The 20,171-nt window shown below is 43.5% G+C and overlaps 2 pseudogenes across 1 annotated transcript; both read right to left on the reverse strand.

Moving 5' to 3' along the window:
* Positions 1-1,576: 1,576 nt before the first annotated feature.
* On the reverse strand, positions 1,577-5,052 carry OLFM5P (olfactomedin family member 5, pseudogene; annotated as a pseudogene). The gene is made up of 3 exons (NR_133006.1): positions 4,888-5,052; positions 4,019-4,178; positions 1,577-2,413 (listed from the first exon to the last, which is right to left on the reverse strand). The product of NR_133006.1 is annotated as an olfactomedin family member 5, pseudogene (transcript).
* Positions 10,490-11,393, reverse strand: OR52V1P (olfactory receptor family 52 subfamily V member 1 pseudogene; annotated as a pseudogene).

The following is a 20,171-nucleotide window of genomic DNA, read 5'->3' on the forward strand; positions in this document are numbered from 1 at the left end:
CTCCTACCCCACCCACCAGGGGCATGAATCCTCAGAAAAGGGATATTGTGATGTCAACTCTATCCTCGCAGTCACCCTGGGCCAGCTGGGGAAGGAGGACATATTTAGGGGTCCAGGGCTCTACAATAAAATAAAATAATTTTCCAGAAAACAGGGACAAAGTTCTCTGGATGGAACTAGTAAGAAAACAAAAAAGTAAATAAAAACCATATTTTTAAATGTGGGATGTGTGTTTCCGTGTGATACTGTGTGTATGTTCCTTATAGGGATGTTAGACTTGTATGAAAAGTTGGGTCTACTGAAGCCATAGATAAAGCCACATTCCTATAAGAATGCAGTCTCTCCCATAGGAAGGAGCGCATTAATTTTTTTAATGATCTGGAAATTTGGGTCTTATATAGAGTCTAGATTTTGGGATTCTATATTTAATTGTGCTCCCATGTGGTGGGGAAAATTTTCCTCTGTCCTAGGAAGCAGGAGTAGGGCTAACCAGGAAGGCTCTTCATAGGCACATGCCAAACTAAATGTGAATTAGCTCTTTTTTATAATATGCCTTTTATTCACATATCACTTGGTCTCTTCTACATGTCAATATAACAGAAGTTTTAGAATGATTTGTTTCAATGTCCTAACCCACTCTTGTGTGCCCACCTTTATGTCAAAGCATTAAGGGGGAATGTCGTCTGTAAATCAAGAGGTGGGAGAGGAGGTGGTTAGTAGTAAAATTCTTAAGGGGACAAATACAGGCAACTAAAAAGCTGGATTCTTGGTCCCATGTAAATTTGGAGAATTGTGTTTGGTTTTTATTTAGATGCAGATGGAAATAATTATTTATATGAGTGAGAGTGTACATGTCTTATCGAATGTATATATGAAATTGTATGCATATTCTGTGTTACTAGGAAGCCTTCAGGGTCTGGATTTTATATATTCCATCCACCTGCCTGGAGAGGGAGGAGCACCACACAGATAGCTAAGGAACAAGCAAAAAGCTCGAGCCCATATGTTCCCAGTGTGTTGAAGACAAGCAAAGGGATGATAGGCCGTTGGCCAGGAGACCTTCTGCTATCAAACCAATGATTCTTTATTGAGAATATCTAGACCCCCAGCACCATCCATGTCAGATCCTCATCATGCTATAAGGCCAGTTGCTAACTTACTACAGCAAGACTCAGGCCTATTCTCTTGCAATTGCACTCAAAAGTGAGATCGATCCAGGACAATGAAAAATTGATTACCAGACCAAGATCTTGCCCCTTTTCTCCCCAGGGACCTCACAGGAAGGTGGAGATAAGAAAGGGAACTTTCATATCCTACTCTAATGACCAGCTGCCCTGCAGCTTCTGCACTGGAATCAGGTGTTCCCAACCTGAGATTGACAATTCTAGATCACAGAACTCTTGAGTTCCGGGAGCTGGATTTATGAAAAAAGGAATATGAGATGCCAAAGCATCAGAAAGAGAGGGTACCATTTTCTTAGCTAATATTTTACTTTTTCCCTATCAAATCCACCTAGACCATTATTAAAGGGAACCTTAATGTACTGATTGAGATATTAATTACATAAAGAACTCACTAGATATAATCAGTCTTCCAATCATTAGGACCAATGGCCACTTTGGGATGTGGTCCTCCTGGAGGTAAGGAAGAGGGCACACTTCTACCAATGCTCTGCCTAGCCCTGGGGTCTCAGGGTCTGGAAGCCTCGTTAGGTTTGACAGGTTTTGGTGGAGCATGAGCCCCAGAGGGCCTCCTGGTGGGTGGTCTTGGTAGCCTGGTCTTCATTGTCAGGAAGGTGAGGTCATAATTTATCAGGTAACCATCACTGAAGACATACGGCTTGTGGTCTGAGGGGCAGTAGTTGATGCCCTGCAGCTTTTCCAGCATCTTGTCCAACAGGATGCTGAGGCGGCGCTCCTGCCCGGTGGTGGTGTCAAAAGCATAGAAGATCTCCTCTTGGTGGGTGTTCAGTGAGTGTAAGGCATAGAGCACCCCACAGGCCATGAAGGCCCCTGACAGGGCTGGCTTGTACTGGCTGGTACGCCAGGTTTTCTCCACTTCTAGGGTGCTAGCGTTGAGACGACTCACAACCAGGTTGCCCTTGCTCTCCTCAGTGGCATAGAGAACCCACAGCCCCTTCTCATCACCAGCAAAATCTAAGTCCTTCCAGGGCACACCAGCATAGGAAAAGCGGTTGTTATAGGTGGCACCAGGCAGCAGACGCCACAGCACCAGTGTGTTGGAGGAAAGGTCCATTTTGGCCATGTCACTTGTGCCACAGTAGTTAAAGTACATAAAGTTCTTGTACACAACGTTTCCACTGCCATCACCATAGCCCATCTTCCTCTCTTCATAGTTTTTCAGCAGTGCGAGGTCATTATAGGATTTGCACAGCCGATAGTAGTCAAAGTACCTAGGCCAAGTCCCTGCATTCAGAATTATTGGGTGACAGCCATAACTAAGGTAACAAAGAGCTACAAAAATAGGCAGATCAGTTTGCTAATTAAGAGCAGGGGCTTTGCTATCAAACAATTGACTTTAGTTCATCTTTCACTTACTCAACCATGACAAACTAAACAATTATTTTTAAAAGTAACAGTAATAATAAAACACCAATAGCTACAGTGCCTATTAGACACTATATATGCACAATCTTATTTAATTATAATAACAGCACTGTAAGGTAGGTTTTATCCTTACAGATGAAGAGACTAAGTCTTAGAAAGGTTGAGTCATTTGCTCGAGGTCACACAGCTTATAAGTAAAAACTGTAAACAAAAGTAACAAGCTACTTTATTGACTGTTAGGACTGTCCAAAATAAAGCAAAGAAAACAATTAGTACAGCATTTGTTTCAATAAGCAATAAAAAATGGTAGCTATTATTTTTTCTTCCTTATGGAGATTCTTCTGTATCTACTCTGCACTGCCTTCCACCTGTCCTCAAGATGCAAGGGTCCTGTAACAGGACATATTTCTGGAGCTGGATTCAGGGAGATTTGTTCTCATGAGGTCACATTGGAAAGTTCCTTAAATTATCTCTGAGTTATGAGTAATCTTATCTCTTAACATTGTTCTGTAAGTCCTGATTACCTATAGATTTTGAGAGGGTTCCAAGGCGTGTAAATGTATTTTATAGGCTACAAAGTATAGCACATATGAGTTATATGCTACAAATTGTGGCCTATACAATACATTTTAGATAAGCATAGAATTTTGGGAATATTATTTTCAGTAATACTAATTTTCAGTAACACTGATCTTTCTGAGTTGAGCTTCAACTGGAGCTCTTCAATGACTGGTTCAACCTAGATTCATGTCTCTCTCTCGCAACAGGTCTATATCACATTTTCACACACACTGGCTTTTAACATTCTGTGTGTTGGGCCTACCTCCCTAGCAAGGTTGACAATGTATTGAAGGTCTTATTCGTCTATTTATTGACTCTTTTAGCCATTCTTTCATCTAATAAATACATATCATCACCTATGTTTTACATACTTTTCTATGTAATCTTATGTGATCTTCTCAAATATGTATAATTATCCTCATTTTACATATGGCTAAGAAAGGTTCTGAGATGTTAATTCATTTTCCCAAGGTCACTTAGCTTAAATGGCAGTATAGAGTTTCAAACACAGATTGGCTTAATTCCAAGTCTCAAGCTTGGCCAGAGACATGCTCTGAACTTCTAAGCAGGAAGTTAGAATTTTGAGGCCCAGGTGTAGAAGAGTTTGTTCTTTACATAGAATCAGAGTAGAAGTAGAACCATCTTTGAGTTACTATGGGATTAAAATTTGTAGGCAGTGGATTTGTGAAGGAAACTCAGGGCAGTCTGGGTCACGCTTGTCTCATGAGAAGAGCGTTAGGAGGTGACCTGTCAGGCCTAGGCTAGGTTTGCTTTGGGGCATACTTAAAATAGAAGAAACCAGCGTGGGGCTGTAAAGAACCCTGTTTGGGTATGGGTAGGGGACATTTGGAATTAATCCGATTGCAGAACAGAAGTCACTCAGGGCTCACCTGCCATCTGTACGTAGAGGAGCAACCCAGTAAAGGGAAGAGGCTGGATTGGGTGCTGAGTCTCGGCCCCAGGGACCTGCCTTATATGAGAAGCCTCTCCGAGTGAGCTGCACCACAAGGGATTTGCTAACTTCCTGGAGGCCTCCATGGGCACAAGAAGCTAGGGGAAAAAGCAGGCAATATATAAGCCAAGTTTAAAGCACACAACCCACAGGTAGCTGAGTGTGAAAGTATAATAACCATGTGTGGGTTTGAGTGTGTATCCATGCACCTGAGTGCATATACAAGCATATCAGCAGGTTGATTTTGCATAAACATAGGTTATTTTGTATGTATGATTATGGGGTGTTCATATGTCTGTGTATATGTATGCTCATGTATGAGAATATATCAATCTTGGTCTGCATTTTTCAGTGATGCACAAAACAAAAAAAATGAAAGATTTATTCTCTATCAAGATTTGTACTTGGGCTGGGCGTGGTGGCTCACACCTGTAATCCCAGCTCCTTGGGAGGCCAAGGTGGGCAGATCACATGAGGTCAGGAGTTCAAGACCAGCCTGGCCAACATCGCAAAACTCTGTCTCTACTAAAAATAAAAAAACTTAGCAGGGCATGGTGGTGTGCACCTGTAATCCCAGCTACCTGGGAGCCTGAGGTGGGAGAATCACTTGAACCCAGGAAGCAGAGGTTGCAGTGAGCTGAGATTGCACCATTGCATTCCAGCCTGGGTGACAGAGCAAGACTCCATCTCAAAAAAAAAAAGAAAAAGATTTGTAATTCCTTCCCCTCAGTTTACCATAGCCAACATGCACTCCCAACCTGGTCTCTGGAGAGATAAGACCTTGAGAAATTCAGTCTGTGCACTCACCGGGGGGAGGGGTGGTCCAGGGTGTCCAAAGGCCTATTCTTTCTCCTTTTCTCTCTCACATTCACTTAGTTGACTCTCAAGGACATCCACCTCCTGCTGGAGAGCACCAAAGCTGCACTGGTCAGAGTCAGCCAAAAGTTTGAGTGTGAGACTGGCGTTAGTCACCTATGGAAATGAGACGCCCGAGAAGTGGGTTGCAGAGTGTTCTTAAAAACTGAACTCTGGCTGTCATATTCCTCAACTCAGAGTTTTCTTCCCCAGAAAGAAGTAATGTTGGAAATTGTCCAATACATGAGGTTAGAGAAGACAGGAGGCTGTGACAGGGAGGGAGATCATATATATATATATATATATATTTTTTTTTTTTTTTTTTTTTTTTTTGAGACAGAGTCTTGCTCTGTTGCCCAGGCCGGAGTGCAGTGGCATGATCTCAGCTCACTTCAACCTCCATCTCCTGGGTTCAAGCAATTCTCTTGCCTCAGCCTCCCAAGTAGCTGGGATTACAGGTGCCCACCACCACACTTGGCTAATTTTTGTATTTTTAGTAGAGACGGAGTTTCACCATGTTAGCCAGGCTGGTCTCGAACTCCTGATCCCAGGTGACCCACCTGCCTCAGCCTCCCAAAGTGCTGGAATTACAGGTGTGAGCCACCGCACTCAGCCTAGGGAGGAGTATTCTTTAATCCATCCACATACCTGGCTCTGAAGTTGGTGGAGGAGGTCCCCAGCCACACTAACACCTCCCATGGCTTTAAGTTGAGTCACCAACTCCTGTGCTCCCTCCAGCTCCAGGCACAGCAGGTTGAAGCCTGGGTTCTCATAGGGAGAAGCAAGGGCACTGGGATTCCAGGACTTCAGCATGTGACTCATTTCCAGAACCTCATTGTCTTTATCTTCAATGGCGCGTGCACACTCACTGACATCAGCATGCAGGGGATGAACAGGAAGTTGCTCCAAATGTCAACACCTGTGGCTTCTCCCATTCAGTTGCATCCTCCCAGGCCAAAATTGCCCTGTTTGCATCTTCCAGTGGAACCATACCCATTAATTCATCCATTACTATGGGAGGCACCCCCTACACAAGCCTCTCTATAGTCTGTTACTATCACTGGAGATCCCAAGGATAGTACAGAATTACCCCTTCATTCTAAAGATTCATCTCAAAGATGAGGGCTGTGCCACTTCCTTCAAACATTTTCTACTTCCAGGACTCATCTCCATGCTGTGTCCAGTAGAGACTATGCTTGAATAACTCCTAGCCCCAGCTCCAGCCCACAGATCAAGCACTCACTCTAGACAGCTTCTGCTCATACTTGCAAATGAGCTCCTGAGCTGTACTTTGTAGCTGTTCCAGCTGCTCCAGGGGGATGGGGTTGTTGGGTAGGTGAACCATACAATGGCATGTGCCTCCTTCATCCACAGAGCTTGACACACTTCTCACCAGCTGCAAACCATGGCCACAGGCACAGTAAACATAATGAAGCATGTTGGAGCACCCTGGACTGTTCGCAAACATGAAGCAAGAGAAGAGGCTGAGCCTACTTTGGAGTGCCAGAGAAGCATTGCCTCTGCCCAGGGGTTTCTTCTTGACTGTCTGTTAGGGCATCCCTCTGTTAGGGGATTGAGTTATGTTTCTCTTGATTTCCCAGAATTGAAGCTGCGGGTCCCTTCCAGAACCTACTGATGGGGCCTACCTCACCCTACCTCATGCACTGGCTGGATCTGGCTGCAGTTCACATTACTGGAAGCTGATTTTTCTTCAAGGCCCTGTGGGAGAGAGCAAAGCTGGTCTACAGAGATGTGTTAGGGGATAGGCTTAGGAAGCCTCAGTTGTCTACAGTATCCCCACTCTAGAGATCTGGCAGATTCCTACAACTTTACCTTGTATTGAAGACAGCAGGGACAGAGAGTTGCAACTCATCAAAGGAACATTAGCAGTAACAATACCATAATGCACCAGTATGGTTGGATATTTAGCATTCACAAGACATAACAGAGGGTGAATTGTAATCCACATTTTATAGTTGAAAAACATGAGGGTCTGAGAGTCTAAAAATATTTTGCTAAGTTACATGACTAATAAGTGACAATGCTTCGAGCTTCCCCCAGGTCCCATCTTTGTTCTAGATCCTATGCTCTGGCAACTAAGGAAGTAGCAGAGATCCAAGTTATGTTGGGGTAGACATGCAGCACAGGACAAAAGGGTAAGGCTGGGAGGCAACTCCCTTGCCTCAGCTAGATAGAGAGAGAGGGAAAGTTTCTAGAGAGATGCATAATTTGATCTCTTCTCCCCTGTCATATGCCTATCATATTACTTCCATACTCAGAGCCCAAACCCACTGATCCCATAGCCATATTTCCTGAGTTCTAATCCTGACTCTGGGACATTGGGCAAATTACTTAATTTCTCTGTGCCCCATCGTCTTAATATGTATAATGGGGGAAAATGTGGTGTTTATCTTATTGTTTTAAGAATTATAGATAGAGTTATAGAGATGATAGATGATAGATAGATAGACAGATAGATAGATAGATAGATAGATAGATAGATAGATAGATAGATAGAATATTTGTAAAGTACTTAGAGCAGTGCCTGGCCTGCCTCTGTTAAGAGTCTTTATATTAGTTATATTTCTCTAAATCCATCTCTTAGTCCGATTTTGGAGCTGGATAAACCAGCACTAGATTCAATCAAGACTCCTTCCCAATTTTTTTATTGTGCATGCAACACCCACTAAGGTTTCCTTACAAAATCTTTTTGAATAAAAATGTCTGTGGCCCCTGTCCTTCTCTGAGATGTCTCACTCATAGCTTTTCTGGCTTTGGCATCATAGCTTAATCTGGTTATGCCTTCAGCTTGCAACTCCAGCCCAATAGTTTACTTTTGAAGGATAATAAAATAAAGATTGCATAGCCTTTTATAGCCACCATGAGCTCCTACACCCTGAGCACAGGAAGAAGGTGGCAGATTATTGCAGAAAACAGTGCCTCATAACTGAGCAGGGAATACAGCCCAGAGTTCCTTCCTCTATTGCCTTCACCTTTGTCTTTCCTCGCTCCCCCTGTACCCATACATACAAGCAAAGGGAAAATCAGAACATGCAGGCTATCCCATCTTTCTTTTCTTCCTCCCTGTTTCTGTCTACCCTCACTCTCTCCCAAAACCTGGAGGTTCTTGAACAGAATCAGAGTGGTGAAGGAAGCCAGCCCAAAGCACAAAACAATCTCCACCTGCTGCTGTGATCCCTCCAACCTCTGCCTGTACCCGAGACTCTTCCTGGGAGCACCAGGGGCAGCAGCTGTAGAGTGGTCAGAAGAGCTGCAACAGGTGGCATCTTGCATCAACTACAAGAGCGCAGTAAGTACTTGGGGCTCCCCTGGGCTTTTATTTCTGTGTAAGTAAATAGTCTCAGTAGGAGGGATATACATTTTGACATTTGAAAGGGCCGAGAGGATGAAGGGGGTGTGGAGAGGGTATGGAAAGGTGGAGAAGAGGGTTGAGACAGACTGGTGCCTCTAAACATGGTGGTAGTGAGTTTATTATGATAAACAGGGTCTTCCGCATCCATCCCTAGGCTTAGATCTTCCGCATCCATCCCTAGGCTTAGATCTTCCTCCACCCTGCTGGGCCCCCTTGTCTAAACAGATTAAGGTAAACCTGAAACATCCTGCAGGGGCCCTGGGATGGGTCCCTTTCAGGAGTGATTATGGTGTTTCCCTCAACTTTGACAAAGGGAAGGCTCAAGAAGGAAATGCAATTCTATCTGTTCAATCTCAAGAACAGAAGCATTTACTTAACAGGGTGCACTTGGATGAGGGCCAAAGTGTATATCTGGGGGGATCACTTCAGCGACACTGTACTGGACTCCTCTGTTATATATCTTCCTTCACCCCGAGGAGTTTGCCTCCTGCACTATGCCAGGTACTGTAAACTATTACATCCATTCCACTATTTAAATGCTTCCCCCAGTTCCTCTGGTCTTAATGCCAGCTGCCTCTACTGCCTGTCCGTCAAGAAAGCTCCCTCCCAATATTTCCTAACCTGCCACATGATGCTGTGGAGCCTCAAGTCTTCTGGCCTCTGAACTGCCGTTATCCCTATAGAAAAGGAAGAGTGTAGTTCCTGAGCCTGGAGAAGGAGTCGCAAAGCTCAGTGCTCTTAGTGCCAGCCACCCAAAAGTATTCTCTTTTCTTCTGCTATCTCTCTTGAGTATTTCTCAGACAGTGGGGATTCTCACATTTGCCCAAGTGCCTAGGAGAATGTCAGATTTCCTATGAAGAGTGTGTTGCCCCATTTTTCCATTGAGGAATTTTGTCTCTGTAGCTCTACTACCTCTATCCTTTATTGTTTCTTTATCTTTCACAGACCCTTAACTTTAGATTATAGGCTGCTTAGTATAAAGATCCTCTGCTTACTCATCTCATCCTTTAGAATCCTTGCCCTGGCATATACCTAGTAGAGAAAGGTATATGAAACTGCGACTTCCCTTCTGGGAAAAGATTTGAGAAGTTTTGTGGATGTACAACTCCAGGAAGACATGCCCAGAGCTTTGTTGGACAATCCTTGCTGAGAGGTCATATCCTTTTCTTACTTTACAGATTCTCACCCTCTTACTCCATGCTCAAGGCCAGAGATCCATTCTTCATTAGCTTCTCTAGCCTGGCCTTGCCTTAGCCATTGGGTCCAGAGGAGCACAGAAGTTAGGATGATAAGAGAGGAATAGGTTGGGAAACCTAAGCTGCATGAAGCAAGAAACCTGTCTGGGATCAATATCCAGATGAGTGACAGTAGAACTAAGGCATCTTATGGAAGAAGGAATGTAGGAAAGGAAAAACGAAAGAGCATGAAGATAGAGCATGAAGCATAACAACTGCTGCTGGAGTTGTCGTCCCCATATTTTGCCGTCTACAAATAGCCATTAGCACAAGTTGAAAAACACAAGAGTAGCCTTAGTATCTGATTAACGTAGGGAAAGAGCTTAGGGAGGAAGCCACAGTATTGTGCACTCTCTTCCCATCCAAAGCCAACAGGTCTTCCAAGCTCTAGGTATTATCACCAAGGTCAGAAACCATGTCCATTTCCAGAGCTGTGCTCTATTTTATTCACATCATGCCATTTCCCCAGCTCCTCCTGACTTCATCCCCTTAGCAAATAGAGTTCCTGCTTAGTGTCAGACATTGTACAAGGGACCCAACTCAGAGACATGTTTCATTCATCTTGTTTTGGCTGGATAAACTGATGGAGAAAAGATAAGATCCTAGTCCTCAGGACGTGTCCTAGACCTCCTAGACTGTCACAGTCTAGGACCAACCACTTCTATACGTGTGTAATCCCTCTATGGGGATCAATACAGACTTAGAAACATCAGGCATAGAGTGGGCACTGTAGAGCTGGGCAGAGAGAGGTCAGTTCAGTATATTCTGCCTACATAATGGGTGATAAAATAGGGCTGGAGTGAGCATAGGGCCACCTGACGGCAGACAATGGAGATGCTTTAGTCAGAGCTCTACCCAGATGGGTCCTGCAGCATCACTTGGTCATCTGGGCAGGCACGCTGAAGAAAATAGGGATCACATTTATTCCTGTGGGGAGGCCCTCTCAGGGCCAACCTTCTTCACTGCTCCTGCCCAGAAAAGTTGAAGCAAGTTCCTGAGCCTCTGAGCTCTGCTGAGTCTGCACTCCATAGACCACAGGATTGAAAGCTGGGAACACCACTGCGTAGAGGTTAGCCAGTAGGATGTGAATATGGTTGGGCACTGTGTGACACCCAAAACAGTGAGCAAGGAAGGAGAAGAGGGCAGGTGTGTAGAAGAGACCAATGATGCTAGCATAGGTCCCGCAGTTACCCAGAGCCTTGTGGCAGGCAACATGGGATGGCAGACGGCAGACAGCACGGAAAATGAGGGCATAGGAAGCACCTATGAGCCCTAGGTCCAGGGCTGGGGAGAGCAGTGTGGTGGCCAGTCCATACCTGATGATGGGGCACGTATCTCCACATGCCAGGCAAGCCACACCCATGTGTTCGCAGTAGGTGTGGGGCAGGGCCCACTGTCCACAGTAAGGCAGTTTCTTGAACAGGATCACAGGGTGTACATGACACAGACATCACGGGTCATGGTAGTCAGAGCCACTAGACCTACCACAAACTGGGCCAGCAACGCCCCATAGCGCAAAGGCTGGCAGTCTACGGCCGTGGACAGCAGCACTGAGGACTCAGCAATGTGGCAATGATTGACACATGGGCAACAAAGAGTTGAGCCAAGCAGCCTCCAAATGATATCTCACTAGACAAGCCCCAAAGTACAGCCAGAGCTTTGGGCACTGTGGATGTGGCCAGAACAAAATCAGCAGCTGCCAGAAGCCACAGCAGCTGGTACATGGGTGCCCAGAGTGCCTTGTCAGTGACCACCAGCCCCACTAGAAGGGCATTCCCTACCAAAGCTGCCATGTAGAGCAGGCACACAAGCACAGAGAGCCAGGCATGCAGAGCCTCCAGTCCCGGCATCCCCAGCAGGACAAAGGACCCAGACCCAGAGATCAGCAAGTTCTGACTGAAAGCTGGCAGTGCAGGATCCAGCCCCATCTCCTGCCTCCATCTGGCTGTGTCCCTGCAGGATACAAATGGGGCCTGTGAGAGGCAACCAGCAATTGTACAGAGATTTTAGATGAGTGAGGGTGATGCTAGGGCTTAGGATGCTAGAGCATTTGCCAAATGCCCTCTCTGTGGGAGGCACTTTTCTGAGGATTCAGCATATAGTGAACTATGAATTCCCTAACAGTCTAGTTTGTTTGCTAACATTGCCATATGACAGATCAAAGAATTTTGTTCCTGAGAGGTTAATAAACTTACTCTAGGTCACACAGCTGGTAAACAAAAGAGCTAGGATTTGAATCTAAATTCATCTGACTAAAGGCCATACTCTTCTAACAGCCCTCTCCTCTGGATATAATGTCCCTTCATCAGCCCAGGCACAAGGAGACATTGGGGTATGTTTTTACTAATCACTTGTGCCAGAGGAAGTAATTCGTGTTCTCTACACCAAATCCTTCCAACTACAGTACAGCCTCTGTGTTCCCTCCACCCTAGGAAATATGTAAGCCAGGAGGAAGGAAACATATTAATAGAATGGCTATTTTCTACTCCATTCACTGACAGATGCTCAAAGCTCCTGTTTCATGATCCATTTCCAGAAGCCACTTTTTAAGCTCAGACCCCAAACTCTCCAAAACATTTCATTCCTCCCAGTCTGTCTAGTACATTTTTCCATCTGCTCATGGCTTCTGACACCTCTTTCTCCAGCTCTGGTCCACAAGAGCTCTAGGCATCTGGTTGATGGAACTTAATTTGTTCTATAACCAGTATGATTATCCATCCCTTGACTCAACTTTGTGGTTCTTCTTTCCTCCACCCTTTTTCCATGAGAAGATACGTTGGGTTCCCCACACTGGGGCCTTTTAGAGGGTGAAGGGTGGGAGGAGGGAGGGATCAGGAAAAATAACTAATGGGTACTAGGCTTAATAGCTGGGTGATGAAATGATCTGCACAACAAAACCCATGACACAAGTTTACCTATGTAACAAACTTACACTTGCACCCCTGAATTTTAAAAGTTAAAAAAAGAAGAAAAATATATGTTGGGTTCTATGGAACTCAGTCTGAGAAAATCCGAGGCCACTAAGGACGTAGAGGAGCATCAGGGCGGGGCTGCAGTGCAAGGGACTGGGATTAGATACCATGGTGACAGTGCAACTGATGGTCCAGTGAAAGTGGTAACGGGAGGAGGCAAGGGAACACTTTGCTTACCTGGATTTAAGTGGACAAATAACAGCCTGAAAGAAAGCTCTAAGCTAAGGTGGGCTTTCCATGCTCCACCTGAGGACCAGAGTTGTCTCCCTGAACCTGGTGAGAGATAGAACCTGATATCCTAACCTGTCCTGGAGACTGAGGAACCCGGCAGGTGAGCAGAAACTAGAATGTCTGGCCCTGCGTGAGATCTCAAGCTTCCCATGCAGCCCCCTCGGCAGCACTGCCTCCTGGAGCTTCTCTCACATCCCCACACCCTGACTCCTGCAGGGCAGAGACAGGCAATAAAGCAGACCAGGCCAGGTGCAGTGGCTCACACCTGTAATCCCAGCACTTTGGGAGGCCGAGGTGGGCGGATCGTAAGGTCAGGAGTTCGAGACCAGCCTGACCAACGTGGTGAAACCCCGTCTCTACTAAAATTACACACACAAGAAATTAGTCGGGTGGGGTGGCACATGCCTGTAATCCCAGCTACTCAGGAGGCTGAGGCAGGAGAATCGCTTGAACCCGGAAGGCAGAGGTTGCAGTGAGCCAAGATCGCACCACTGCACTCCAACCTGGGTGACAGAGCAAGACTCCATCTCAAAAAAGAAAAAAAAAAAAAAAAAGCAAACCAGACTTTCTCACATGGGAGTCATATTGCCTTAGGAGCCAGAACTTCCTTCTGAAGGATGAGGCTTTGTCAAGTTGCAGAGCTTGACCCTACCCCCCTCAAAATGGGGCCCTAATGGCTTCTCTGGACCCTGGGAACATCCTGCCAGGGCCCAACTTACCACAAGGCAGGCCTAGTCTTTACAATGCAAGAAGGGTGTCAACTGTCTCAGGATCTGGGAACGTCTCTCCCAAAACCACAGGGCATGCACAACACGTACCTTAAGAAGACACTTAAGAAACACAAGAAATTCTTGTACTCAAGTTGTGGGCTTTACTAGCACACTACCTCTTGAACAAGTTTCAGGGACAACTCCCCCAGATCATCCATGTCCACAACAAATATTTCTCTTTCCATTTCCTCCCATAAGCTACATAAAGGGTAGGAAGAGGAAGCTGAGGATCCCTTTGCACCCGGACTCTCCCACCTCAGCCTCTGCCCTGTATCTTGTTCTTAGCAGGAATAACTGCACCCTTCTCATCTGCCACCTGCGTGTTCTGCTCTCTCGTCTTCCCAGCCCCTGGCCCCATATCCTAGCCACATCAGCTCAGCTTCTTCTGCAAGTTGAGAGTTTAGCAAAGGACATGCAGAGGGAGAAGTAAAGTGGCATCTCTATTCTGCCTGAGTTTCCATGCACTGGCCTGGCTCTGGGCTGGATGTGGCTCAGAGTTCTGGAGCATCTTATTGGGGGTGATGCTACTGCAGAGACATTACACTATCTTGTGCTTCTTTCTAGGATCAGGAAACCCATGTGTAAAAAGGAAAATGTTACATAGATCTGGGGTTAGGAACCAGATTTTCTGAATGCTAGTCCGAGATTGTTTCTTCTCCCGCATTCTTAGCGTTGTTCCTCTCTTGATGCAGCAGGATAATTTAGGAATCAGAGAGACCGAGGGGTTGAGGAGGATACTTATTATTTATTATTTAGGTGCACCAGCCCAGTCAGATTAACATCCAAAAAGACTGAGTCCCGAACAAAGAGTCTGGTTACCTTTTAAGCATTTTTTGGGGCAGGGGGAGATCTGTGCAGGGGGAAGCATATTATAGAAGCAAAAAACAAAAATAGTTATTCAGTTGAGACATGCATTACATCATTTGTTACTTTTCAAGGAAAAACATGTCTTACGACTTGAGTTTATCTGCCTAGTGTCCTTGCAGCTGCACAGCTAGAGAAACAGGGTCTTCACAATGCCTGGGAAAGGGAGAGATAAGGCTCACTAGCCACAGAAAAACAGGCAGTTACTTTTTAAGGGACTTCAGCTCTTTCTCTTCCTCAGGGGGAATTGGGTTTTCTTACATACAACTGGGTTTTTGCTTACACATTCTTTAATTTCTTTTAATTCCTGTTTCATTGACAGTAGTTTTCTTCTTGCTGGAAGGAGCTGCCTGTGCCACTCACCCAGATTCTAAAGCTCCATTTCTTTCTGGGTTTCCATTCCTACTCTAAGGGTGTGCTTGTCCTGACTTTATTCATACACGCATGCTCCTAGGGGCCTCAGTGGTGCAGAGACCTGCACAAACCACCTTCAGACTGAGACTGTTACCATAGGATTCCAGGGTAGAGCTCCCCCATAGGGTTCCAGGCTAGAGCTCACACTGAGGTCACCACCTCCCTCATCTTTGTTCTGTTGATCCTTCTCAGGGTGACCCTGGCTCCTAGGGCCCATTCTGCTAAGAGGGGTTCACATACTACAATTTGTCTAAGAGGCTTGAGGGACAAGGCATCCCCTCCAGGTTAGAGAAGAACATCAAGATACATATTAAGTGCAGATGGATGCTCTAGAGAAAAAAAAAGGGCCATAGTATCAGTTCAAGAAATGAATTTGAACACCCTATGTTCAGTGTAGGTGGTGCTGTGTGATATGGGATGGATAAATTAACAACTTAGAACCATCGTTTAATCAGAATACATGGTCGTTACCCTGATTTTGGAAGATAGAGGTGAAAGGGAAACAGCAAAATGCTACATTTTTTCCTATTCCTGTTTATTCCCACTTCAGCACAGGCGTAAAATCCAGGGCAGACTCTAAAGTCAGATCATCTAGGTTCAAATCCTAGATCTGCCACATATAAACTGTGCGACTTTGGACAAAATTCTCAACTTCTTTGTGCCTCAATCTCCTTATCTCTAAATTTGGTATAAAAACAAATGCATCTGCTTTATATGGAACATTGTAAGGATTAAATAAAATGACATATGTAAAACAATTACATAGGACACAACAGTGCCTGTAACACAGTAAATGTCCAGCACATTAAATGTTATCATTATTATCATTAGCAGTGTTCTATCACTCCTTGAATTCGTCCCTTTAAAGCCTCCTTCCACTGCATTCTTAATTCTCAGTTTCATAATCTGATAGTCTCTTTTTTTTTTTTTTTTTTTTTCTGAGACAGAGTCTTGCTCTGTTGCCCAGGCTGAAGTGCAGTGGCGCAATCTTGGCTCACTGCAACCTCTGCTTCCCAGGTTCGAGCAATTCTCCTACCTCAGCCTCCCAAGTAGCTGGGATTACAGATGCCCGTCACAGGCCCAGCTAATTTTTGTGTTTTTAATAGAGGTGGGGTTTCATCACATTGACCACGCTGGTCTCGAACTCCTGACCTCAAGTGATCCCTCCGCCTCGGCCTCCCAAAGTGCTAGGGTTACAGGCATGAGCCCCTGCACTCGGCCTTAGTCTTTTAATATATCTTAATTTTTTTAAGATGATTTGGGAACTGAATTAGAATATTTGGAAGCAGAATAGTCCCAACTTCAAAAAAATGGTTGAAAGGCAAGATGAAAGATTCAGTTTGATCAAAAAAAGAACTTTCTTTGCCAATAGAGCCACAGGAATTAGTCTGGTTAAAAGACTACTTCTAAATGAAATGGGAAATATGGTGTCATTGTTCCCAAGCCCCAGCTTTCTACATCACTCTGACCTGGGATGAGGGAGAGGTGACACCTCAGCCCCAGTTCTCAAGCTTAATTTCTGCACTCGTCCTCAACTACATGCTCTCTTTTGCACTCCAAAGTTGCTCTCTGAAAAAAAGTCTGAGAAACTCATTTTCATCAGTTCAGAGAGGTTTCCTGGGACATTTCCTGGGGTTTTGGCACGTTTAACCTTCAGTGTTTGGCTCAATGTGGAACAAATCCAGTGGGGTTAGCTGAAGAGACTTTGCAGAAGCCCCAAACTGTGTTTAGGGTGTAACTGGTCTTGGCTGAGGAATTCCTGTTGCTGCTGGGACAGGGGCTTCTCACCTCTCTGCTGTTGGAGGTGAGATTAAAAACGAGGAATGAGCATCCCGTCTCCATCCATCCAATCCTGCTTCAGTCCCTACTGCCTCAACATCGCCATTCAGCTAATAGAGCACCTGGGAACTAAGGCACTCCAAGATGCTCCTTTGGAAAGGCTGAGAGAAGGCAAATATGGGTGAGAAGAATTTATGGGTCTCTTCTGTGAGCACTTCAGAGGGGATGGACTCTGAGCCCCAGGCAGATTGATGATCTGCTAGTCTCAGCTGTGAACTGTTAATGAGGAATTAGCAGACAGTTGAAGTTACATCTCTATGGATTTTTCTGGACTCCAGATTTACATGCCTGGCATTCTCAGGACCTGGGGAAAAGTGGAGACCGATCAGCGAGGTCTTTGCAGAACCACTGGATGGGGCAGCAGCAAACTCAAATATACAAGTGCTTTGTTGTAAACAAATGACAAACCAAGTCACCATCCGGAAATTGACAGCTGTCATTCTTTAATATTGTTTCTGCCTCTTAGCTGTATAAAGAGGCAAAGCAGCTTGGTGGAAAGAGTGTAGACTTTTGAATAATGCTGCGCTACTGTGTTTTTTACAGGGACAAAACTCAGTGCAGAAGAGCCCTCTTGAGCACTCTCCTTAACTCTTCTACACTGAGTTTTTTCCCTGTACAATGAAGATTAGGCTATCTTCCCCAAAAAGCGGCTGTAAAGATTAGTGTAACATTCATAAAGCACCTATTGGGGTCCCTTGAGCTCAGTAGAATTGACACAACATTATACAAGGTAAGTGACTTAGAGTCAGTTAGAAGACACACTCTGCCTATCTGAGATGCCTGCTGGAGCCACACAGAGAAACTGTTTCTCCCTTATACACATTACTGTTTTCACAATACCTTCCCTTCCTCAAAAAAATGCACACTCTCCCATTTAGGGCAATATAGTAGAATGTAGTAATGGCACCTCTTTCACAATCACCCATGGTTTATGTTTGTTTTTAGTCCTTAGTTTGAATGAACTTCTTTGTATACAATCACAGAACAAATTCACAACTTATGAAAAGCAACAACAAACATATTATTATAAAGTCGTGGTCATGTGTTTTGATATTCCAGAATAGTACATTAACCCCCTCTCATATTGAGCTTTTCCAAGTGGTAATTATGGTGTGGCCCAATAAACAACAACCAGCCCACTGTTCAAATGTCATGACTTAGTTCTGGCCTTCCTCAGTGAGGAATCCAGCATTCACTCCCTCTTGTTACTGGTAGCCTCTACCCAGAACAGGTTGCCCATTTTCCAACAACATAACTTTGCATATTTAGAAACTAGTTAATGATAAGGAAGTCCAACTCACAGAACAAATAAAGCTCACAAAGTGTTTTTCATTGCAACTTGATGAATACACAGACATTGCTAACGTGATAATTATTTTTTAAATGTGTGATTAGAACATGACAGTGATGTGAAGGAAGAATTATTTTTTCGACTTTCTTGATGACAAACCTAACTCTTAACCTTACATAAAATTGTGAAAAATACAATATCAACAAACACAGTTTAGGGTTTAAGTTTGGTGTAAAAGCATGTTCTGGTGGAATAGTAACAGACAGGTAAATATTACTTAGCAAAAGTGAAAGAGCTAGTTTGCAAAATTAAAGAACTTACACAGAATGTAAATCAAAAGGTTTTCAAGGGAAAAAAAAGACAATTAAACTGAATAATATATTTAGTGCTGTAATAAGAATGGGATTATAACTAGCTTAATGTGGTAAATACTAGATTATTCTCTTTATTGTGTGGTAACATGGAAACTGATCAGAAACAAGGAGTTGCCGCCTGATGAGGAGCAATAGCTATGAAGGTGAACGTTTCTATTGAGATGTTTGCCCTGTGGGATGAACTTTTAGTGTTTCTGCAGAATCAGAAACCTGTTTGGTTCTGCCAGATTTTCTTACCTGGCTATCTTTGTTATTTTCAATATTCTTAATATGTCATGTAACATGTTCTTTCACAGTAAGTAAGTTTTAGAGGCACATATTGAAGTTAGAAGTTTGGAAGAACAGAATTTGTATAGAACAATTAACATATTTTTATAATAAAAATTTTCAATAAAATAATCGATGAGCTTATATTACATATCTGTAAAAAGTTATCACTATACCCCTTGCTAATTTAACAGAATGTTTGAATTTTATTTCCTATCCAAAAAAATCCACACATAGGAAGTTCATGAATTCAGAATCTAATTTTTCACTGAAGAAAAAAAAATGAGTTTGGCCAGGCATGGTGGCTCATGCCTGTAATCCCAGCACTTTGGGAGGCTGAGGTGGGTGGATCACTTGAGGTCAGGAGTTCGAGACCAGCCTGGCCAACATAGTGAAACCCTGTCTCTACTAAAAATAGAAAAGTTAACCAGGTGTGGTGGTGTGCGCCTGTAATCCCAGGTACTCAGGGGAATGAGACAGCCAATCGCTTGAACCCGGGAGGGGGAGGTTGCAGTGAGCTGAGATTATGCCACTGCACTCCAGCCTGGGCGACAGAGCGAGACTCCATCTCAAAAAAATAAATAAATAAGAGAAAAGAAAAGAAAAAAGAAAAGAAAAAATGAATTAAATTTAACTATAAATGTATAGGATAAATTGTTGAAACTGGCCACTAATTAAGCATTGAAGAAAAATTTTAAAAATATAGCCTGCTTGGCTAATTTTTTAAAAAATATAAAAATAATTGTCTTGAAAATGACAAAATGTCTCTAAAATCATTTCTTTTATTCCTATTAACAGACCTTTGGGAGACAAGTTATCCTACTACAAACATTAGAAAAGCAAAAGCTAACACAAACACACACAAAAATAGTTTAATTATAAATTATAAATTATTGCCTGCAAGTAGCATTGTCATCAGTACAACCTGAATTAGATAAATTAACAAGCAGGATGCAAGTTCACTTGACATAATTTTAAAGGTTGACATAAACTGTATTCTTCCACCTGTGTGTCTAGACTTTTAAGATAAGGCTTTCACTATTTTACTTAAAACTTTTTTGTTTAACTATAATTGCAGAATGACAAAATCTCATGTGTCTAATATAAAATCTAAGTCCTCTACATTAATCGCCCATATGCACACTTTCAAAGAACAATGTATGCAATTTTGGGGAATACTTTAATTATTTTCTATGTTTTCTTATACTGGTTATACTTATTGAAAGCTTTCTATGTCTTTCAAATATAATAGTAAAAGCAAGGCTTGAATTTTTTTGCAACTCTGTAGTGATTAATTATGATAAGCATTTTTTCATATGTTTGCTGGACACTCATATATCTTCTTTTTGGAAATGCCTGTTCATATCTTTTGCCCATTTTTAATGGAGTGTTTTGAGTTTATGCTTGTTCAATTGTTTAAGTTTCTTATACAACCTGGATGTTAGACTTTGGTCAGATGCATTGTTTCAAATATTTTCTCCCAGGCTGTTTGTTTGCACTATTGACAGTTTCTTTTACTGTGAATAATCTATTTGGCATAATTAGGTCCTATTTGTCAATTCTGGGTTTTGTTGCAATTGTTTTTGAGGACTTAGTCATAAATTCT

The sequence above is a fragment of the Homo sapiens genome, chromosome 11 (genome assembly GCF_000001405.40).
Source record: "Homo sapiens chromosome 11, GRCh38.p14 Primary Assembly".
NCBI lineage: Eukaryota > Metazoa > Chordata > Mammalia > Primates > Hominidae > Homo > Homo sapiens.